Genomic DNA, 22,915 nt, shown 5'->3' with positions numbered 1-22,915 from the left:
TGCCCAGGCTGGTCTCAAACTTCTGGACTCAGGCAATCCTCCTGCTTTGGCCTCACAAAGCACTGGGGTTATAGGCAGGAACCACTGTGCCAGCCAAACTTCCTTCTACCTATCAAAGAACTTTTTAGGATGCAGTTTGAATCAGGTATAACAAAACCAATTATTTCTGAAGGCTGTGAATTTGGAGACCCTCTAACGATATAAGGATTGAAAACTGGTTCCGAGTATGTCCCTGTGGTTGAAGTAGATTCTTCCCAGAAGTATGTAACGCTTAGGACGCATTTATCAGTCGTGGATTTTTTTTTCCCCATTAAGCAAATAGTGAATTGTCAATCTAGTAATCAGTTTGCTTGAGGTTTTAAAATCTGTTTTCTTAGTATCTGTTTCTACAAGCCCGGGAATTAAATATGGATATTAAATCAAAGTCAAGATAATACTTTTGTGTTACATTTAATTATATTTTATAATTATTAAGATAATCTATATGTACTTGGTATTAAAGCACTTACAATTTAAAAAAAACTGGAATATTGTAGAATCTGACTTATTGGCCATGCAATTCCAACTTAAACTATGTAACTAATTTTAGACTTGTAAAATTAAAGAGTATAAGAACATTTCTACATTTGTAAATAATACTGAAATATCTAAGAAAAGTAGATTTACTGCATATATAATGCATTAGATTTAAAAGTGTTGTTAAATGCTTGTTATAGTCACATTTGGGCATTTGAAATGATTATACAGAAAATAAAATCTGCCGAATTTATATATGCTATTTCAAGAAAAACTTTAAAGAAACTATAATGGAATAGCTAGAGAAGACATTTGCATTGTTCCCAGAAGGATGAGTTGGATATTAACACATAAAAAGCTCCAGTTGGAGGGAATGGCTTAATCAAAGTTGTGATTTGCAAAGAGTGCATCACATACTTGGGGAACAATGAGTTTCATTTGATTTGGTCCAAGTGTGAAATAAAGGAGTGTAATCTGGAACTGTGGCATGTGGTTAGACTATAGATTTTTTTTTTTTGAGACAGGGTCTCGCTTTGCAGTGGGGAGGTCTCAGCTTACTGTAACCTCCGCCTCCCGGGTTCAAGCAATTCTCGAGCCTCAGCCTCCTAAGTAGCTGGGACTACAGGTGCACACCACCACATCTGGCTAATTTTTGTATTTTTGGTAGAGACAGGGTTTCACCATGTTGGCCAGGCTGGTCTTGAACTCCTTGGCACAAAGGATCCACCGGCCTTGGCCTCCCAAAGTGCTGGTATTACAGGCTCGAGCCACTGTGCCTGGCTGTAACTACAGCTCTTGAGGGCTAGATTAAAGCACCTGGGAGTTATTCAGCAGGTACTGGACAATTCTAAGCAGGAATTAGATAAGAGTGTGCTTTAGGAAGATTAATGCCATTTGGGCACGGTGGCTCATGCCAGTGATCCCAGTACTTTGGGAGGTTGAGGTGGGAGGATTGCTTGAGTCCAGGAGTTCAAAACTAGCTGGGACAACAAAGAGAGCCCCATCTCTACAAAAAATACAAAAAACAACAAAAAAAGAATTAGCCAGGCATGGTGGAGCATGCCTGTAGTCCCAGCTATTTTGGAGGCTGAGGCAGGAGGACGGCTTGAGCCCCGGAGTTCCAGGATGCCGTGAGCCATGACTGTGCCACTGTACTCCAGCCTGTGTGACAGAGCAAGACCCTGTCTCCAAAAAAAAAAAAAAAAAAACAAAAACCAAAAAACCAAAAAAACCACACACAAAAAAACAAGGACTGACTGTGGGAAAAGATTTTGCAGCTCAGTTTGCTGCATACTGCTACCTGAAAAATTAGAGGCAAATTCTTGCCTTATGTTAAATACCCGCTTCTCTAGTTTGTCTGACCTGGGACAACCAAGGTCAAAAAGTCCATCCGAAATCAAATCATTGAGTAGACAAGCACTGAAAATGCTACTTCTCTCTTCCCTATGATATTCATCTAATTTCAAAAAGCTAACATCTGCAGCTTTTTTTTTAATTCAAATCCTTAGAAATGGTGTCTCTTTTTAACAAAAGAGCAAAAAAATCTTCACACGAACTTTAGGTTCTTAGCCTATCTCTAGATTTTACGTGTTCCACTATTAGAGACCACCCTTTAAAGAGCAAAGAGTTTAAAATTCACAAACTAAGTGAGGACTTGGGTGTCTGTGGGCAGCAGTGCTCATAGCAGCAACTCCATGCAGAAGTTTGAATTGAGGCTCATGACTAGTTCATTTGTTTTTCTATTTTTATTTTTTATAGAGATGGGGTTTCACTGTGTTGCCCAGGCTGGTCTCAAACTCTTGGGCTCAAGCAGTCTTCCCGCCTTGGCCTCCCAAAGTGCTGGAATTACAGTCATGAGCCACTGCACCTGGCCTTTTAAAATTTATGTTTCAATTTTTTAATTTTTATTTTTTCATTGAATAGTTAAATTACAATAAATCAGAGGTCACCATAGCATTGTGTAAAATGAAAAATTGCCCATTTCTTACCTCCATTGGGTTTTAGACAGTAATGTTTCTATGTAGAACTTGGTTTTGTCTGAGAAAGAAATAGAATTGCAACAACTACTATGCCTGCCTTGAAGATGTACCTCTCGTTTTCAATAGCATGCTTCGGACAAATTTTTCAAACCTACTTTTTAATTTTTTGGTTCCAATCCTCCGGTCTTCTGTCTAGGATACCAGCAAGCACGTTGCTTTCAAGTTTCCCCTTACATCTTTGACCTTGTCCTGGAGTGCGGGGAGGTAAAGTTACTATTTGTAACTGATGTTGAAAGTCACAAAAAGTATATTCCAATTCTTTTCATGGTCAAAATATGCTCCCAACCTCACTCCTTGCTTGTAATACATTAAATAGCAAGCATAATGAGGAAGTCTGTTTATTTTCTATATTATAAACTCTAAATGGACTATCTTTTATGTTTACATATAATAATGGCAATAAAAACATCAATATCAAATACCTCAGACATAAAAAGATAGCAAGTTAAAAAAAATACTGGAAGTTTCTTTTAAGAGCAGTAATTCTTTAGACAGACATTTTAAATAAAAAGTACCAGGCCTTACATGTCTCAAGACCTTACATACAAAGAGGTGTTAAAAACTTAGGTGAAGCTGAAATAACAGGCAATTAGGGAAGTTGTCTTACTCTTTTTTCTTTTTTCATTTAAAAAGGCTGAGCACTATCCAAATATAAGAGAAACTGGAACAAACTAAAACTGGGGATTTCCCAATGATTTTATTGAGGTAACTTTTCCCAATTTTATACATATATGCATTTATATATACTTAGGAAAGCTAAACAATGTTCTAAGGCACTTGGAATTGTGCACAGCAAAGTATCCTCTAATATTATACAACTAAATAGAGCAGAATTTTGCTTTTTAAATAACACAAATACCAGTACGGAATTAAAAAAGGGAATACATAGTCTTTCTTTCAGGTTACAATAGTGGAATACAAGTACATATGTGTGTATACTTGTAGATATTTATACCCACATACTATAATACAGTACAGATAAGAACAACAAAAGAGAAACTGTCATGTTAATCAGTGTACAGTTCCAGTTATTTACACTCACAGATATTACACCTGTGTAATACGTAGAACTAGATCACTCACTGGAAATCAGAAAGCATTCAGTCAGTCTGATAATGATCACAGTTTACCATTGTTATCACTTTAACTGAAGTGTGAAATAACAAAAGAATGCATATAGTCCGTTATTTAAAAATCCCTGTTACACAGAAAAAAAAAAAAAAAAAAGAAACTTGTTTGAATTTTTAATAGGTCCTAAATCTGGTGAAATTGGTGTAAATGTTTTGAACACACTGGCACATTTCTAAGCCACAGAAGAAATGTTTTTTTTAAAAAAAAGAAAAAGAAATATTAGTCCCTATATTTTAAGGGATGAAAGTGGTTTGACCCTTGAATCATTCTGATTATTTCTGAAGGCGAGTTAGCCCTGCAGTGGCAACTTCTCATTGTGGAGGCTCTCTAAACAACATAATGACATAGTCAAACTATAACAAAAGTATCCAGTAAGGGAAAAGCCCCTCCTCCCCCGAGTTGGCAAGTGGCACAAATATTACTGGCATTTTCATATACCATAAAATTGACCTGAGGGTAGAGTGGCATTCTGCCTTATTTGCTCCTTACAATTTATTCTTAAAAAAAAAATACTGCTATTTAAAAAGATAAGAATTCTTAAGCACCATCTAAAAGCTTACAATATAACCACCTTTATTGACTCTGCGTTACTCGGCCCCAAAAACAATTTAGAAACTTTAATGTTTTAAAAAATTATAGTGGCTAAGTTAATTCCATTTTGCTAGCCACAGTTCATCCAAGTAATGTCAAGACATATTTGCCATTCAGTTTTGGTGATAAAAAGCGACAAAGAGAATATGTTTCTGTATTGTTAGTACAGTTTAATAATGTTTCACCTAAGTAAAACTCATCTTGTTTTGTGTGTGACCATCACTGAAGTATGAACAACAGGCATGCAACCCACAGTTAATCCACATTTTCATCATGATGCAGCATTCACAAATCTTATTAGAAAAGTTGAATCGCATGACTACATTTATACAGGGGAAATTCAAGCATTTGTGTGTGAATTAAATGCTTCGTTAATAGGATAAGCAGGTGATTCATTTGGAACTTATGGGATGCAGCATAACCAGGTGAAATCTAATGGTGATTTATTTCCAAAGACCACCAGGTTTGTTCAAGTGCATTGCTAGTCTGTGTTTGTGTTTAACCCATGCAACAATCCTCATGACAGTAACAAGGATTATGACCAATAATGTGGTTCTAAAGAAAAGTTGTAAGGCAAAAAAAAAAAAAAAAAAAAAAGCTTTCTTCATGTATGATCTCTCCTTTAAGTATATATAGGGACTTTAAGTATATATATATAGGGACTAGGCCAAGTCCCCATGCCCACTGAATGGCCAAGGCTGCCCAGTAACCTCCTCCCTGAAGAACAGCTGCACTGAGAGAAAGGCTCGAAAAATGAAGGGAGAAAAACCATTCAGGGCCCAAAGAAATGCAAGGCAGCAGAGACAATGTTTGAGGATAGGCACTTTTTCTCCCTGTGTCCTCAAAATGCAGTAGACAGTGGCATTCAGGGGAGGTGATACCAACCTCCCAGGGAGGGCATTTGAACCTGGGGGAATGCTTTTTATTCTTGGTGTTTACAATGACTGAGAATGCTACTGACATTTAGTCAGCAGGGGCCTGGGATATTAAACATCTGGCAATGCATGGGATGATTCTGTACAGCAAAGACCTATCCAGCTCCAAATGCCAAGAGTACCCCCACTGAGAAACACAGACCAACAGTGCTTTGCTCATATGTGCAGCTGTGCTAGCAATGTGACAAGCTAAATGACATTTTTTGTGTGTGCAGTAAATCCTAGCATGGCTAAAAAATGACCCATCCTTATAGGGTTGGCTTTAGGTGGGAATAGCTGCCACAGGATCCTCCATTTCTTTGCCAGAAATTTTACAACATATACAATAGGATTTTTAAATTTGGGATGATACTGTCTTCAAAAAAGCATTGGTGGGTAAGGTTCCAGCTGCTTTCTAGAAATGCTAATGGTGCTTTGCATTTCCATACATAGCTTAAGCTTAATGATTACAAAAGGGAAATTGGAAGTGAAAATGGGAATGATTTGAGGGTACTCTACCTCTCTCCCCACCACCTCTTGGTCACTGCCTGCCTTTACAGTAGAGCCCAGTGCTACTTCTTTGAAACCTGGGTTTGAACTAACTGGGCATGTACTTTCTCTAGAAAGATGTTCCTATTAATTTGGTGATTACTCTGTCATTGCTTTTCCCTGGAGGACATATTTTATTTTATTTTATTCATTATTACTATTATTATTATTTTGAGATGGAGTCTTGCTCTGTCTCCCAGGCTGGAGTGGAGTGGCACGATCTGGGCCCACTGCAACCTCCACCTCCCGGGTTTAAGCGATTTCCCTGCCTCAGCCTCCCAAGTAGCTGGGATTACAGGCACAAGCCACCATGCCCAGATACTTTTTTTTTTTTGTATTTTCAGTAGAGACAGGGTTTCACCATGTTGGCCAGGCTGGTCTCGAACTCCTGACCTCAACTGATCCACCCACCTTGGCCTCCCAAAGTGCTGGTATTACAGGTGTAAGCCACCGCACCCAGCCAATATAGGACATATTTTAGTTATATAAGTTCATTCTGCTTTGTCCAGTAAAGCAATGTAATCTATCCTACCAGTAAGTAGAGACTACCTACACAGTAGTGAAAGATCTAGCCATTTCAAGAGGTCAAGGGACAATTCTGTAAATAAATTGCATCTAAGTAGTTCCTTACTACTCACAACATGCTCTAATAGTGTGAAGAAATTAATTCTTATCCCAAAGAATATACTTTTCCTAGTAATGATAGGCTTCATATAATTGGAATTTAAGAATGCTTTAACAATTCTACCATACTCAGGGGTAAATGACATGAATTCATATATATTGTACTAGTTTAATTTCATACCACCTACTCTGAGGAAGATTTCTTGCTCTGTTTGAAATTTGCAGCAAGGGGCACTTAAAAATAATAACAGACTGAAGAAATTTTTGGGCAGGAAAGGAAGAAAGTTTTCATTATTAAGTGTGGACATACTCCTCTGTGGTAGACAAGACTACCCTTTTCTATTGTGAATACAGTAAGATTTTTGAAAGTTGTGTCTGTCTGATTCTATGAAGCATAAATAAAATGCCTGTTATGTGTTAATATGGTACATATCAGAATATGCAATGTTAATGCAAATTTTTCCTCTTTTAAGTGTAAGCTACTGTATATATAATATACATATATATATATATATATATATATATATATATATATATATATATTTTCTTTTTTAATGCCAACGCAGCCCTGAATTAATTGCAGGCTGTAAAACTGGACCTTTTTTGACTCAGGTTTTAAGGACTCATCTCTTATTTTCAGTATTTGGTGACTTTTGAAGGGTGTATTGAATTCCTTTATTTCCTTAAATATATTTTCCCTTCAATTTCAGAACTTCCTACTAACAGAATATATTTACTAACATTAGAGAAAGATAAAGGACTACTCTCATTATGCTACTAAACAATATGAAGATGAAACCAGAAAGTCAGTTTTTCTGGGTAAAGCAAACAGATGTGTTTGCTTTTTCTCCATGTAAAATAGCTGTTCAAATGCCAAAATGGTTCTCTATTACAGATTTCAGTTAAGTAATTTAAGGAATTATAGCTAACATGTGAAAGTGCAAGACACTTCACATAACACAGGAAATTATCAGGCAAGCTGCCTTAAATGAATGCTGACTACCAGAGAACTATTTTGTCAGACTGATTGGTAATGACCATGAAGATTCTGATCAAGCTTGCTGAGCATCTTCTTAATACCCTAATATTAATGTTTTATTCTCCAATAAAAAAACTAAAATGGTCACTTTGGTTTCTACATCTGTCTAGTTCTTTCCTGCCTGGGATCTTCCTGGAGATGGGTTTGTTTTCTTCCTTAATCATATCTTGGGAACTCAGGAAAACCCACTTACTTCCTCGATGTCAGCCTAATGTCAAACTTTAAATAGCCAAAAACCTGGAATTGTGTTACAACAAAAGAAATCCAATTCCCACACACTTTTATTTTTCCTATACAGCATATGCTTACTGGTTGGATTGCTGAAACGCTGGTGGTGGACAGAGGTGCCTATGCACGGAGGGTGGGCCAGACCTCTGCATCCCTTTAGGGCCCCCAGGTAGGAGACCTCTGGCTGGGTGGCCGGTGGGGATATGTCTCATCTCTGCTCTACTAAAATAGAACCATATTCTGCAAAATACAGCTTAGCTCATAATCCTTTAATTCTTTCCACAGCTTTTTACTCAAGCCATCATTCTAATAAAATAATTGGTGATTCCGATTACCTAAACAGTAGACTAGCAGTGGCTAATTTTTTTTTTTTTTTACTTTTAAACTTGTCTCTAACTTAGAAAATTTTTTCTAAATGTATCGATTAGTGTAAAGAAAAAGTATGAGTAGTTAATAAATCTGACCTATTATACAAGAAATGCAATTTTGAAATACCAGATTTTCATTTTTTGTACTAAGTGTATCTCATTGTAGGCAATAAAAAATTGCATCACAGGCATCAAAAGTGGGAAAAAATTGTTCCTTTTATCAACCAAATAGAAACTTTCAATAACATACTTTGAGTGATAAAATGGTGATGTCTTACATTTACCATTATAGAGAGGTCTTGTGGTTAGAAATTTAAAAAGTGTTTAAAGATGATTAAGCATAGACAATTAAAAGAAACATTATATCTCTTGGTATTTTTCTCAAGACACTAAAATAATAAAATAAAAATATAATTAAGGAAAAGCATGACTTTGGGAAAAAAAAAATCACAAGTTAATTTTTATGGCTGGATTGAAACACTGTAAAATAGACAAAACCTCAGCCAGAGACAGACACCTGGGCATGCAGAAAAATTTTTTCAAAGCAAAAAATTTGTCTTATCCTATTAGTGAAATGACAACAGACTCTAGGTGTGTTTTATTAATGCACAGAGTCTAACAAGAGGTGCAGTAATGCTGGTTACTTTTCCTAATTCTAACATGGTCCTGGCTTTTTATAGTAGGCCAACTGGCATTAACATTTTTTATTTTTAAATAAAATGATCCGATTTCAAGTGGTTCTTTAAAATACCAATGAATGGCAGGATCTACATTTATTCACCGGGTTAAATGCTTACTTTTCGGTTGAAATAGAAAATGACAGTCTTGAACCAGAAACATCTTAGAAAATTGTAGTCCAAACTCTGAGAATAAAATAAACTCTATTTGGGTCTTGTTTTGTTATTCATTTCATGTGTTTTTAATTAAAGGGGCACAAAGCACTTGTGAAGAACAATGAAATGCAAGGTGGTATTTACATATGGTCATATGTATTTGGGAGCAGAAGTCATAGTGTGCCTGTGACTCCATGGAAAATAGCAACACAATAATAGAGAGTTTCTTAATGTAAACAATACAGACTGTAGGCTCATAGGGAAAACTTCCACTACTTTAACCTCACTGATTCTTTTGCATTGACAGTAAATACTGTACTGTATCTATGGATGCCATCTGCAGATTCTTAAAATACAAGATGAGGATTTCCTCACACACAACTTAGTGGGAACTTTCCATGTTCTGTTAAGCCTTTGGGTGTTTTTTTGATCTGTGTCCTTTTTTTTTTTTTAAATAGCAGCAATCCAACTTTAAAAAAATGCAGCACTAAAAAAATAACTAGTCCTTATTCCCATGCAGGACTAACTGCAGGCAGCACATTTGTATCTTGCTTAAGTTTTGACTTTGGATTCAAGTTTTTATTACAGGTGTCATGATTGCCAATACTGTCTTCTCTAGGTGAAGTATGGTTGCTTTGACTTTGGATCTAATCAAGATAGGGAAAGATCAAAAGATTTATTTCTGAAGCTTGCTACAGTTTTCTAGGGTCACATTACATCTGACTTTATTCCCAGTCCTCTTATCCTGTGAAGGCTGGTACACTAGGAAAGGGATATTTAAAAATGTCAAGTGTGCATAGCTAATGCTACTTAAAAGCATGCAACAAAATTTGGGTAAGCATGCTTGTTAAGAGTCAGTAGAAGCTCTTGCATTTAAGAAAAAGATGCATGAAAACATTCAGACTTATTTCTGGCAACTGGATTCACTGGCACAACATAAAATAATGGTACTATACTGTACCAACATAATGGTGAAACAAGAGTATTCTCCGATCAAGTCTTTGAGGAATCCACATCAGGAGGTTAAATTCCTAAATCCCTTAATAAGTTCTCAGCTACCGAATAACTACTTCAAAAATACATTTATGCTTCAATTTTCTCTTTTCTTCATTAACATAATGAAATATTTCTCTTTCTTTCTGATTTCCAACTCCCACCCCTTTTCAGTGCCCAGCAATTTTAATCTATATTTTTCTTTCACCCGCATTATAAAATTTGGCTTTCTGGTAACAGGGAGCCAGTGATTGTCTTCTGCTCATCTTCTTTGATTAAAGCTTCTGATGAAGAATATCCACGGTGTCTCTTACCATCGCTGTGCATTCTGGGCAGCAAGAGTCACTGCATCCTTCCTTTTGCTTGTTGGAGCCATCTGGGCCACACAGGTGAGGAGCACTTCCCAGCCAAGCTGAGTCACACACTTCCTTCACCACAAGTTAAACGGAAACACACACATTCAAATCCCAGTGCAATATCAGGTTTTCAGGAAGCAGGGCTTCCCCCAAAGATGATCAGTCTCTGTTTCCAAATAGTCTCACTCTTCGTTATGGACGATGAAACCTGGAGTAAGAAATAGAAACTATAAGCCTGTGGCCTAGGAGCACATTCTGCATGCAGTGAGCTGAATAAGGCGTGGTCATGTTTACAATGAAAAGGTACCCCAGATATCCCCCAACTGAATTACTGTTTACAAATTTCTGTCATAACAAAATACTGTTACAAATATTATTAAGGAAAGCATATATAAACGCTTTCCTTATATATATGTTTACATATAAGCATATAAGGAAACCTTATATAAAAGATGCTGGTTATAGTATTCAAGTTACACAGCAACCAAGACAGAAAACATCACTATTCTTGAGCATCGTGCTCTAACCTTTATCAAGCAGAGGGAGATGTTTCACAAAGGGATTTTGGTACACCTCGTCTGTATTATAAAAGCACAGTAACAAATAGACACTTTTTCATTAGCTTCAGCCTCTCATCATCTCCTGCTGACGACTCCAAATCTACTTTCTACACTTGAATTTCCAAAAGCCCACAGGGCGCTTCCCCCCAGATGTTCCACAGGTATATACTAAGCATGTCCACAACTATACAAAGCTTTCCTTGTTAACCTGCCTTTGCACTTTGTCTTATTTAATATTCTATCTTTAAAAATATTTTTGGTCTAGAAACCTCAGATTAGCAATTCATTTCTCTCCCTCATCCAGCATTTCCTATTAGTCACCAAGTCCTGCCTCAACTGCCTGTCTTGGAATCATTAAAGTTCCATCTTTTGCTGGCACTACTTTTACGGTATGCTTGTTAGCCAGCCAGCTGGCTTCCTTTCCCTCCTTGTGAGTTCCTGAACATTCCTTGCATTTTTGTAGCCCGGTGCTTTTGAACATGCTGTTCACTAATACTGCAATTCCTTCCCTTCATTTCCTATCTATGTTTTCATTTTCAAGATCAAGGTCAAAAGTTATCTTCTCCATAAAGCCTTAAGTGATCAAGCTCTTCAGCCTACTTCTGCAATTCCACATTTATGCAACTCTGCCTAGCATTTCACTCTGTCTTCTACAGTCGAATGCTCATCTGCTCTGGTCAGCCAGTCTCCTAATTGGTTTCCCTGTCCCAGGCTCTCTCCATCAAATCTATGCTCCTCACTGTTGCTCACACTATCCTTAAAAATACTGGTTCCATCATTTCAGTTCTTGGGGTTTTTAAAATCTTTTTTTATTTTTAATTAGATATGGGGGTCTCGCTATGTTACCTAGGCTGGTCTTGAACTCCTGGTCTCAAGCGATTTGCCCACCTTTGCCTTCCACAGTGCTGTGATTACAGGTACGAGCCACTGCGCCCAACCCAGTTCTTTCTCAAAAGGATCGTATTGTTCCCCATTACCTACAAAATAAAATTTAAGCTGGGCATGGTAGCATACACCTGTAATCCCAGCTGCTTGGGAGGTTGAGGTGGGAGGACAGCCTTGAGTCCAGGAGTTCAAGACAAGTCTGGGCACATAGTAAGACCCTGTCCCTTAACAAAATTAAAATAAGAAAGCCAACAAAATAAAATTTAAAGTTCCTGGAGTAGCAAGTAAGGCTTTTCAGAAAGTGGCCCAACTCATGGTTCTAGCTATATCTCTATCACTGCTTCCAAATACTCTCCATTTCAATCACTTGCCCCAAAAAGGCTTTTGCGCTAATGCCCTTTCCTCTACCTACTTTTTGCAGGGTGGGTTGGGGGGAGCTCCAGAGGGGGACAGGGTTTCACTCCTATTGCCCAGGCTGGAGTGCAGTGGTGCGATCTCAGCTCACTGCAGCTTCAACCTCCTGGGCTCAGGTGATTCTCCCACCTCAGCATCCAAGTAGCTGAAACTACAAGCATGCACCACCATGCCCAGCTAATATTTGTATTTTTAGTAGAAATGGGGTTTTGCTATGTTGCTCAGGCTGTTCTCAAACTCCTGCACTCAAGCAATCTGTCCTCGGCCTCCCAGCGTGCTGCGATTACAGGTTTGATCCACCACACCTGGCCTACTCTTTCTTCTACCTTTATCTCTCTTACCATCTGCGCTTTATGCAGTCTCACTCTGTGAGTTCTCCAAACTCTTTTCTCCACTGCTCAGGGAAGCACTAATTGCTCTCTTTCCTGTGTTCCCATAACCTTTGGCTTATGCCAGTTATTGCTTACATTATATAATCTTTGGATACATGTGCCTTTGCTATTGGATCATGAGAAGCTGAGGAAGGAAACTTTCTTATCCATTTTTACATACTCATTGAATACAATCTCCGGCACGTGATAGTACTTACTAAACGTCACTGTGTTGAATACAAGCATTACAAAATGAAAAACTAAAAAATAAGAGCAGGTGAAATGAGATGGGCCACGAATTGATAACTGAGGAGCTGCTAGTTGGATACGAGGGACTTATATTACTTCTGTGTTTGACAAAAGTCAAAAGAAAAATAAGATATACCAAGCTTTACAAAACTGGTAGGCAATTTATTACTAAAGCAGGAATGTGTCCACTTTGAGTTCTGTTCTTAGTCTATCCCTGACTGTAACCTTGGGCAGATGTGAGGACCGCCATGCCTGCATTTGATACACAGAGGCAACATCACTCTTTCACTTTTTCGAGGGCCAGGTCAAGGGCCCTGCTGCCTCGTGCAGCCTCAGGACATTGTTCCCTGCATCCCAGCCACTTTGGCTCCAGCCTTGGCGCAAAGGGCCCCAGATACAGCTCAGGCTTCTGCTTCAGAGGGTGCAAGCTGAAAGCCTTGACAGCTTCTACATGATGTTAAGCCTGCAGATGCACAGAATGCAAAAGTGATGGAAGCTTCAGACACTCCACCTAGATTTCAGGGGATACATGGAAAAGCCTGGGTGTCCAGGCAGAAGCCTACTGGAAGGGCACAGCCCCCACAGAGAACCTCTACTAGGGCAGTGTGGAAGGGAAATGAGGAGTTGGGGATTCCACAAAGGGTCTCTGCTGGGGCATTGCCTAGTGGAACTGTGAAAAGGAAGTCACTGTCCTCCAGACCCCAGAATGGTAGATCCACTGGCAGCTTGCACCCTGTGCCTGGAAAAGCCACAGACATTCAACGCCAGCCTGTGAGATCAGCCTGGGGGCTGCACCTTGCAAATCCACAGGGGTAGAGCTGCCCACTTACACCAGAGTACCCAGGACATGGGACATGGAGTCAGAGGAGATTATTTTGGAGCTTTATGATTTAACAACTGCCTTGTTGGGTTTTGAACTTGCATGGGGCCTGTAGCCACCTTCTTTTGTCTGATTTCTCCCTTTGGGAACGGGAATGTTTACCCAGTATAGATCTCCACCATATCTTGGAAATAACTTACTTGTTTTTTATTTTACAGGATCATAGGTGGAAAGGATTTGCCTTTTTTCAGATGAGATTTTGAACTTTTGAGTTAATGCTGGAATGAATTAAGACTTTGGGGGACTTTTGGGAAAGCATTTTGAAATGTGAGAAGGACATGAGATTTGGGAGCAGCCAGGGTCAAAATGATACAGTTTGGATATTTGTCCCTGCCAAATCTCATGTTGGAATATAATCCCCAATGCTGGAGGTGGGGCTGGGAGGTGTTTGGGTCCTGGGGGTGGATCCCTATGGCTTGGTACTGTCTTTGTGATGGTGAGTGACTTCTCACGAGGTCTGGTTTAAAAGTGTGGGGCACTTCTCCTCCACTCTTTCTCCCATTCTTGCCATGTGATGTGCCTGCTCCCCCTTCGCTTTCTGCCGTGATTGGAGGCTTTCTGAGGCCTCCCCAGAAGCAGATGCTGCTATGCTTCCTGTACAGCCTGCAGAACTGTGAGCCAATTAAACCTGTTTTCTTATAAATTACCTAGTCTCAGGTATTTCTTTATAGCAGTCAAGAATGGCCTAATACAGTCTGTGAGGGTGTTTTCAGGGACTGGCTTGTGAGTCTGAGTGGACTAGGTAGGGAAGATCTTCCCTCAGTGTCGGTGGCCACAGCCAATCTGCCAGAGAGCCAGAGAGGACAAAAACAGAGAAAAGGAGACTATGTCAATCTATCTACTGGAGCTGGGATACATGCTCTTCCTCTCTTGTCCTTGAACAACAACTCCAGGCTCCCCACCCTTTGTACTCCAGAACTTACACCAGTACTCCCCACTGCCTCGAGCTCTCAGGCCTCCAGCCTTGGACTGAGCCAGGCTACCAGCATCTCAGGGTCTCCAGGTTGCCGACAGCCTGTTCTGGGACTTCTCAGCATCCATTATCATGTGAGCCAATTGCCCTAATAAATCCCCTCTCATATATCTATATACATATATCTTATTGGTTTTGTTTCTCTGGAGAACTCAGACAGATACAGACCCCTTTCTTGGCCATCGGATCTATACCCACCCCTGTCCTATTACCTTTTCTTCACAGTCCTTAGCACTATCTGAAATGCTCATGTGTATTTATTGTTGACTTGGTAATAGTTTGCTTCTCTACTGGAACATAACCACCTGAGGACCTTATGAGACAGGTCCTAAACTCTCAGGGTCCAGAACACAATCTGGCTCACTAGGGATGTGCTCAATAACTATTTGTTGAATGCATAAGTCACTGAACACATATACACAGGGGTATCTAGGAAGTTATTTGTTAGCTCTATAAATAATTCTATATGACTGAGGAGTCCAATCAGAAGCCCCTAAACTTAATTACAAGTAAATGTATACTAATATACAATAACCCACCTGACAGGACATTCCAAAATGTTTTCTAGGAAGAGTCAACCACAACCTGAAGCAAAATATGGAAGTTCTATAAAAATATTTCAAAGAGTAACTGAAAACCTCTTAAATCAAATATTTTATATACAATGTGAAAGGCAAATTGATATGGTTTGGCTGTGTTCCCTCCGAAACCTCACCTTGAATTGTAATCTCATAATCCCCACATGTTGTGGGAGGGACCTGGTGGGAGGTAATTGAATCAGGCGAGTGGTTTCCCCCATGCTGTTCTCGTGACAGTGAGTACTCACGAGATCTGATTGGGCTTCTCCCTGCACTCGGCACTCATTCTCTCTCCTGCTGCCCTGTGAAGAGGTGCCTTCTGCCAGGATTGCAGGTTTCCTGAGACCTCCCCAGCCACATGGAACTGTGAGTCAATTAAATCTCTTTCCTTTATAAATTACCCAGTCTCGGGTATGTCCTTATAACAGCATGAGAATGGACTAATACACAGATAATAATAACAATCCTAATATAATACTTACCAGAGCTTACAAGTCCAAGTGCTATGCATCTATTTCCTCATTTAATCCCCAAAACAATCTTACGATGAAAGTACTCCTATATCATCTTTGTACAGATGTGGAAACTGAGGCATGGGGATGCTAACTCATTTGCCCAAGGCAGAGAGAGACAGCTGGTAAGTGGACGCGCTATGCTCCAGACTGTCTTCCTAACCTACATTTCAGTATGAGATCAAAACATGTCTTCATCTGTACTTCTATTTGAAGGGGTGATTTTCTGGTGTTCTCTGGGTAGCATGGAATAGAAAAGGTGATCATCTGAATTTCTACCTCTGTCCATTTTAATCAAATTTTATTTAAATTTTTTATTGATTATTTTATTATATTTTTAATTGACACATAATTGTTCATATTTATGGGGTACAGAGTGATATTTTGATGGCATAAAATGTGTAATGATCAAACTAGCAAATCAATCATCCTACACATTTATCATTTCTTTGTGTCAGGAACATTCAAAATTCTCTCTTCTAGCTTTTTGAACATATGCAATAAATTATTAACTATAGTCCCCCTACAGTGCTATAGAACACTAGAACTTATTCCACCCATCTAGCTGTATCTGTTAACCAACTGCACCCTATCTCCTTTCCCCTACCCTCTTTATCTTCTAATAACCACTAGTCTACTCTCTACTTCAATGAGATCAACTTTTTAGCTTCTATGTGTAAGTGAGAATGTGTGGTGTTTATCTTTCTGTGCCTGCCTTATTTCACATAACATAATATCCTCCAGGTTCATCCATGCTGGTGTAAATGACAGAATTTCATTCTTTCTTGTGGCTGAGTAGTATTCCATTGTGTATGTATACCACAATTTCATTATCCATTCAAGTTCTGATCAATTTTGACCAGAGAAAAATCCTGTTCCACCCTCTCAGGTCACACTTTGATTGCTACAGTCTATTCTTAAACTTTTCACAATGACTTGAAGAGCCCATCCAGTGATACCCCAAACTAGCAGCAGCATCTCCCTCTGAGCAGGGCACACCAGCATTGTCCATACTCCAGAAAGGGAGCAGCAACCCAGGGAGCCCTGACAACACAGTGCATTGTACCTCCAGGACCCTCACACCATGAGCTACCAAAGGCCTATCTTTCTAAGGTTCAGCTTTTCTAAAAATTAGTTAAAAGCTCATCTAACTTAGCAATTATTTAGCCCTCGCCAAATCTGCTGGGCTTTGCGTACCAAACATTCCACAGTGTCCTAATCTTCAGATGTTCATCTAATCTTGAATTCAAGGGGCAAGGATAAGGAAACCTGATGTTTTCTCTCTCCATTGGTAATGTCTGTGGGATGAAGAAGGTAAATGAAATTTTGGGTTGGATAACAAAGGGAGTAGTCAATGGACCAGAAGAGATAATCTTCTTTTTTGGGGGGTGGGGGGGACACCGTCTCACTCTGTCACACAGTCTGGAGTGCAGTGGCATGATCTCGGCTCACTGCAAACCCTGCCTCCTGGATTCAAGAGATTCTCCTGCCTCAGCCTCCCAAGTAGCTGGGAATACAGGCACTCGCCACCACACTTGGCTAATTTTTGTATTTTTTGTAGAGACAGCATTGTGCCATGTTGACCAGGCTGGTCTTGAACTCCTGGCCTCAAGCGATCCTCCCGCCTCAGCCTCCCAAAGTGCTGGGATTACAGGCATGAGCCACCGCACCCAGCCAGAAGAGATAATCTTTGAAAGCCCAATATTATCCTGGAAAGTATTCTGTATTTAATTTTCAAAAATAACTGAGGACAGTGTAAGATTTTTTTTTTTTTCCTGCACACACCATTTGCCCATGGATCGCAGTACACAGTGAGTTCCACAGTCTAGATTGCATTGGAAGGTCACAGGCCACCAACACAGCTTCAAGGGCTGGCTAGGAAAAGAAGGTGACCAATTGATACCGTGCGTGCAATAATATGCTCACAAAGCCAGAGGTCAGAACTATGACCCCTCTTTAGATAGATTGCCCAGATTCGGTAAAAAGTAACAACCAGAAGGAAAACAAAAGCCATATATTTTCCTGCTCTATCCAATCTGAAAATGACACTTTTATCCTGTTTAAATTACTCAGCTTATCTTCAAATTCAGCTCTAAAACGCTGTGGTTAGAGGTACTGAAAATGCAAAATACTCTTCAGTTTGTTATTTCTCGGTATTTTGCTATTTCTCGGTAGTTTGCATTCATTTTAAGGTAGGAGAAGTTCAGCTTTACGTCTTGAGAAGTTTGTCTATGTGACAGCATGACAGTTTTGGCTTTAGGCTTCAAGTTGGTGGAGGAATAAATAGATTTACTGTGCCCTAAGGATACTGAAGCCTTTTGTCCACCCTCTTTTCAGAACTTTCCTGAGACTCCAATCTAAAGTCATACATATTTTCTTCTTTCTTTTAAAACTGCAATACATTTTTTCTTATTTTCATACTGTTGAGAGGGAGGGAATGGGGGAAAAGCTATTTTTAAGTTATGGAATTCAGATAAAGATAATGATTTCAATAAAGGCGGTTCCTTTATAATTTAATTTTAAAAAATTATTCATCTTCCTATAAATTCTTTTTTTTTTTTTTTTCTTGAGACAGAGTCTTGCTCTTTTGCCTAGGCTAGTGTGCAGTGGTGCAATCTTGATTCACTGCAGCCTCCACCTCCCGGGTTCAAGTGATTCTCCTGCCTTAGCCTCCAGAGTAGCTGGGAATACAGGCATGCACCACCATGCCCGGCTAATTTTTGTATTTTTAGTAGAGACAGGGTTCACCATGTTGGCAAGGCTGGTCTTGAACCCCTGACCTCAGGTGATCCACCTACCTCGGCCTCCCAAAGTGCTGGGATTACAGGCATGAGCCACTGCGCCCAGCCCTTCCTGTAAATTTATTCACATAACATAAAATATATAATTACTCACAAAGGTAAAATATTACTTTCTTGTACTTCCCTACTTGATAGATATAAAACTCCTAAATAATTCATTCCCCTTTTCTTTAAAAGAGTTTCATTGTCACGCCACCTATACTTATTATTTTTAAATTTTATTTATTTATTTATTTATTTTAAAGAGACAGGGTTTGGCTTTGTCATACGGCTGGAGTGCAGTGGCCGGATCATAGCTCACTGCTGCCTGGAACTCTGGGGCTCAGGGGATCCTCCTGTACATATACTTATGTTAAACAAAGGAAGAGGCTCTCTTAAATTACAGCTCCTTGTTCTACCTGAGAGGCTAGACCACACACTGGCTGGGCTCTTATCATTCCCAATACTGAGCCTTGCTTTCAACTCTGGTAGTAGTTAAAGCAGCATTTTGCAACTCTTTTAATTTCTGTCCAGGTAGCAAGTAAATGGAGTATCCATGAAAGGCAGTGCCACTACAAAAGCAGCCTTTCCATTCCTCGGTGGAGGACCCCTTATTAATTTTCATTGCAGTTTCAAGTATAGTTCCTGTGATGTCATATTTTGATAAGCATATCTAGAAGCTGAAAAGAGTGGTTTACTTTAACCGTAAACCCACATAGGATAGTAACACCTCAAGAAAGTATAGAATGAGATCATTGCTTTAAAAAATACTTATATGGGCCGGCGGCGGTGGCTCACGCCTGTAATCCCAGCACTTTGGGAGGCCGAGGCGGGCGGATCACGAGGTCAGCAGATTGGGACCATCCTGGCTAACACGGTGAAACCCCGTCTCTACTAAAAATACAAAAAATTAGCCAGGCGTAGTGGTGGGCGCCTGTAGTCCCAGCTATTTGGGAGGCTGAGGCAGGAGAATGGCGTGAACCGAGGAGGCGGAGCTTGCAGTGAGCAGAGATGGCGCCACTGCACTCCAGCCTGGGCGACAGAGCGAGACTCCGTCTTAAAAAAAAAAAAAAAAAAAAAAAAAGTGTGTATGTCTATGTGTCCATACGTATATACAGTTGACCTCTGAATAACATGGGTTTGAACTGCATGAGTCCACTTATAATTGGACGTTCTTTCACCTCTGCCACCCCTGAAACAGCAAGACCAACCCCCTCCTTCTCCTCAGCCTATTCAACATGAAGACGATGAGGATGAAGACCTTTATGATTATCCAATTCCACCTAATGAATAGTAAATATGTTTTCTCTTCCTTATGATTTATTATTATTACTATTTTCGAGACAGATTCTCACTCTGTTGCCCAGGCGATCTCAGCTTACTTCAACCTCCACCTTCCAGGTTCAAGCAATTCTTGTGCCTCAGCCTACCAAGTAGCTGGGATTACAGATGTGTACCACCACACCCAGCTAATTTTTGTATTGTTAGTAGAGACAGGGATTCTCCATGTTGGCCAAGCTCGTCTCGAACTCCTGACCTCATGTGATCCTCTGGCCACGGCCCCCCAAAGTACTGGGATTACAGGCATGAGCCACTGTGCCTGGCCTCCTTATGATTTTTAAAGTAACATTTTCTTTCCTGTAGCCTACTTTACTGGTAAGAACATAGTACATAACACATGTAACATACAAAATATGTGTTGATTGACTATGTTATCAGTAAGGATTCCAGTCACCAGTAGGTTTTAGTAGTTACGTTTTGGGAGAATCAAAAGTTATACGTGTATTTTTGACTGTGAGTGGGGATCAGTGCCCCTAACACCCAGGTTGTTCAAGGGTCACTGTATGTGAATATCTCAGTCTCAACATGAGAAAACTTCTCAACATTAAGAAACTTCTCAACATGAAGAAAAACTTCTTACCATTAAGAAAATTTGAAAAGTAGATAAAAGAAAAAAAGATTACTATAACCCCACTCTATAATAAAGCACTAAGAATTTTTGAAGTTATTTCCTAATCTTTATTTCCAGGCATCTGAATTTTTTTTTTTTTTTTTTTTTTTTGAGGCGGAGTCTCGCTCTGTTGCCCAGGCTGGAGTGCAGTGGCGCGATCTCGGCTCACTGCAAGCTCCGCCTCCCGGGTTCACGGCATTCTCCCGCCTCAGCCTCTGGAGTAGCTGGCACTACAGGCGCCCACCACCACGCCAGCTAATTTTTTGTATTTTTAGTAGAGATGGGGTTTCACCGTGTTAGCCAGGATGATCTCAATCTCCTGACCTCGTGATCCACCGACCTCAGCCTCCCAAAGTGCTGGGATTACAGGCGTGAGCCACCGCACCCGGCTGCATCTGAATTTTAAATAAAATATACTGCTGCTACAGTTAGTCAATATCCTGACTTTCCCACTTGACATTATGCCAATGATCTCTTGCGGCTCATTTTAACTCTAAGAGCCTCAATTCAATGATTCTATGAGTCTTCAGTAAGACTCCTTAATATAAGAAGTAAATAATTTACAAGCTGATACAAATATGAAACTACTTTGTATACTCCAAAAATGTCATCATTTACAAAATGAGAAGTTTATTTTTAAAAAGCGATATTCTCTCTTGATAACAAATCTGATACATGTTAACACTTTCTCTGTTGGGAAAACAGAGAATAAATATCCAAAGGAAAATTAAAATTACTCAAAATCTTACTGCTCAGCTGTAACTACTTTACAGTTTAGAACTTAAGTAAAATTTGACCTTTCATGCAATTTATCTTTAGAATTTAGAGAGTTATTTTATATTGTAGAAATTCCATTTACTATGGAAAAGGAAGTGGCTTTTGTTTGCCATGTTGGTCTCCTTCGAGAATGCAATGATACTATCTAATGATCTATCACCCTCAAATGGACTTTTTGGTTTTGAACAGTGGGCTGAGTGGGCACTGTTGAGGGGTAGAAAATGCAGAATGTGGCCAGACAAGCAGCAAGGTCTAAGCAACTGAGGTTAGGGCTTGGTACCTATAGGGCCACGGGATGACTTCTTGTGGGGACCATTTGTCCCTACCTTTCTTGCCCTAGCATCCATTCCAATTCCAGGGCACCATCTGGAAAATACTGGGAGAAACTGGGAGAATTAGATGAAAGAGTAGAGCACCACAGTTCTTCATCACTACAGACCAAATATGTCATGGAATGTATTCCATGACAGAAGTATCAGAGGTACCCCCTCAGTGCACAAGACGTGGAAGTGTCACAATTAATATTAGTGCCAACACATTAGTCAAGAAAAGCCACCACGACGTAATCTTCATTTACAGAAACAAGGACTTAGAGAATGGATTCTTTATTTTTTCTTTTAAATGTTTGTTTTTGACTAGGTAATACATTCATAATGTTTCAAAAATTCAAAAGGTTCAAAAGGGTGAGTTGTGAGAAGTCTCCCTCCCATGCCTGCCCTTGGCCACCAGCTTGTGTCTCTCTCCGGAGATAGAGAAGCAAAGGAAGCTATATACAGAAGTGGGTCCTTCCATTGTACACCAGTACATCACTGGGTTGGAAATGGCCTCTAGATAAAGAGGTGCCCGAGAAGAGGAGTCAGCCCATTTATTAACCACCCCAAATCTGCAAGGAGTTCACAGATTGAGGTTTTGAAGGGAAGCCTTACTTGGTATAAGGAGACAATGTCTCATGCTAATAAGAGGAAAGGAGAGCTGCTGTGTATCTAGGTTGCATTGAAAGGGCAAGGTAATGATTCATAAGGTGTTTATTTTCCCCAAGAGAGGCTGGTACTAAGAGTACCACCACCTTTTTTATGAACAATTTGCTAAATGTAAAACTGGATCATGTTTTTGTATTATTTTTATTAGAAAGAGTAGTGATTACCAGAACTTTTTCCCCTTAAAAGAATTACTGAAAACAGCTTGAAAATCATAAGCATTATTTTTATGTCTTGGAGACAAACTATATCCCTACTGGAATATATCTCGAATGATGTCATAAGTTAATGGAAAAATAGCAGTAACATTTGCTTTACTGCCAAGGTTTAAGAATACTTAAGCAAGGCATATTTATTTTGGTGATATGAATATTTAATTTTTCCTTATCTGGAAAGGTATTAAAGAGTGTTAATCAATTTATGTTTTGGAGAACTTTTAAAATTTACCCTTGATATTAGCTGTTACTCTCCCTGAAAGCTTATATATTTGCATCTGTTTATATTTACATAAGCAATAAAAATATCAATAGACTTTTATGAAATACAAGAAGCATATACTAAATTTCTCTAGATGAGTAAATAAAAAAAATAGCCAATAGAATTTTGAGGGTGAAAAAATGCCCCATCAAATATAAAAGTACACTACAAATCTATCCAAATTAAACAGTAGGATATAGACATGGATAGACAAACAGCTCATTAGAACATAATAAGCAATCCAGAAATTGACCGATGTGTATATTAAAAGAGAATTTCACATCCACAGGGAAAAAAGTGGCATTGAGAGAATCAACTACTGATTTAGAAAAAAGTAAAGTTAGTTTACT

The 22,915-nt window shown here is 39.3% G+C and overlaps 1 protein-coding gene across 8 annotated transcripts in view; it reads right to left on the bottom strand.

The window, feature by feature from the left end:
• Positions 1–2,877: 2,877 nt before the first annotated feature.
• The window catches only part of PHACTR2 (phosphatase and actin regulator 2), a 294,308-nt gene continuing 274,270 nt past the window's right edge, over positions 2,878–22,915 (bottom strand). For all 8 annotated transcript variants that reach the window (NR_172204.1, NR_172205.1, NM_001394736.1 and 5 more), the window contains one exon: positions 2,878–10,389. Coding sequence is in view for 6 of the 8 variants with exons in the window: in NM_001394736.1 (NP_001381665.1) it covers positions 10,374–10,389 (16 nt within the window). In the remaining 2 variants the exon portion in view is untranslated. The remainder of the gene's footprint in view (positions 10,390–22,915) is intronic.

The sequence above is a fragment of the Homo sapiens genome, chromosome 6 (genome assembly GCF_000001405.40).
Source record: "Homo sapiens chromosome 6, GRCh38.p14 Primary Assembly".
In the NCBI taxonomy this organism is placed as follows: domain Eukaryota; kingdom Metazoa; phylum Chordata; class Mammalia; order Primates; family Hominidae; genus Homo; species Homo sapiens.
The sequence above is the reverse complement of the archived record's forward strand: the minus strand, read 5'-3'. Positions and strand labels throughout refer to the sequence as shown.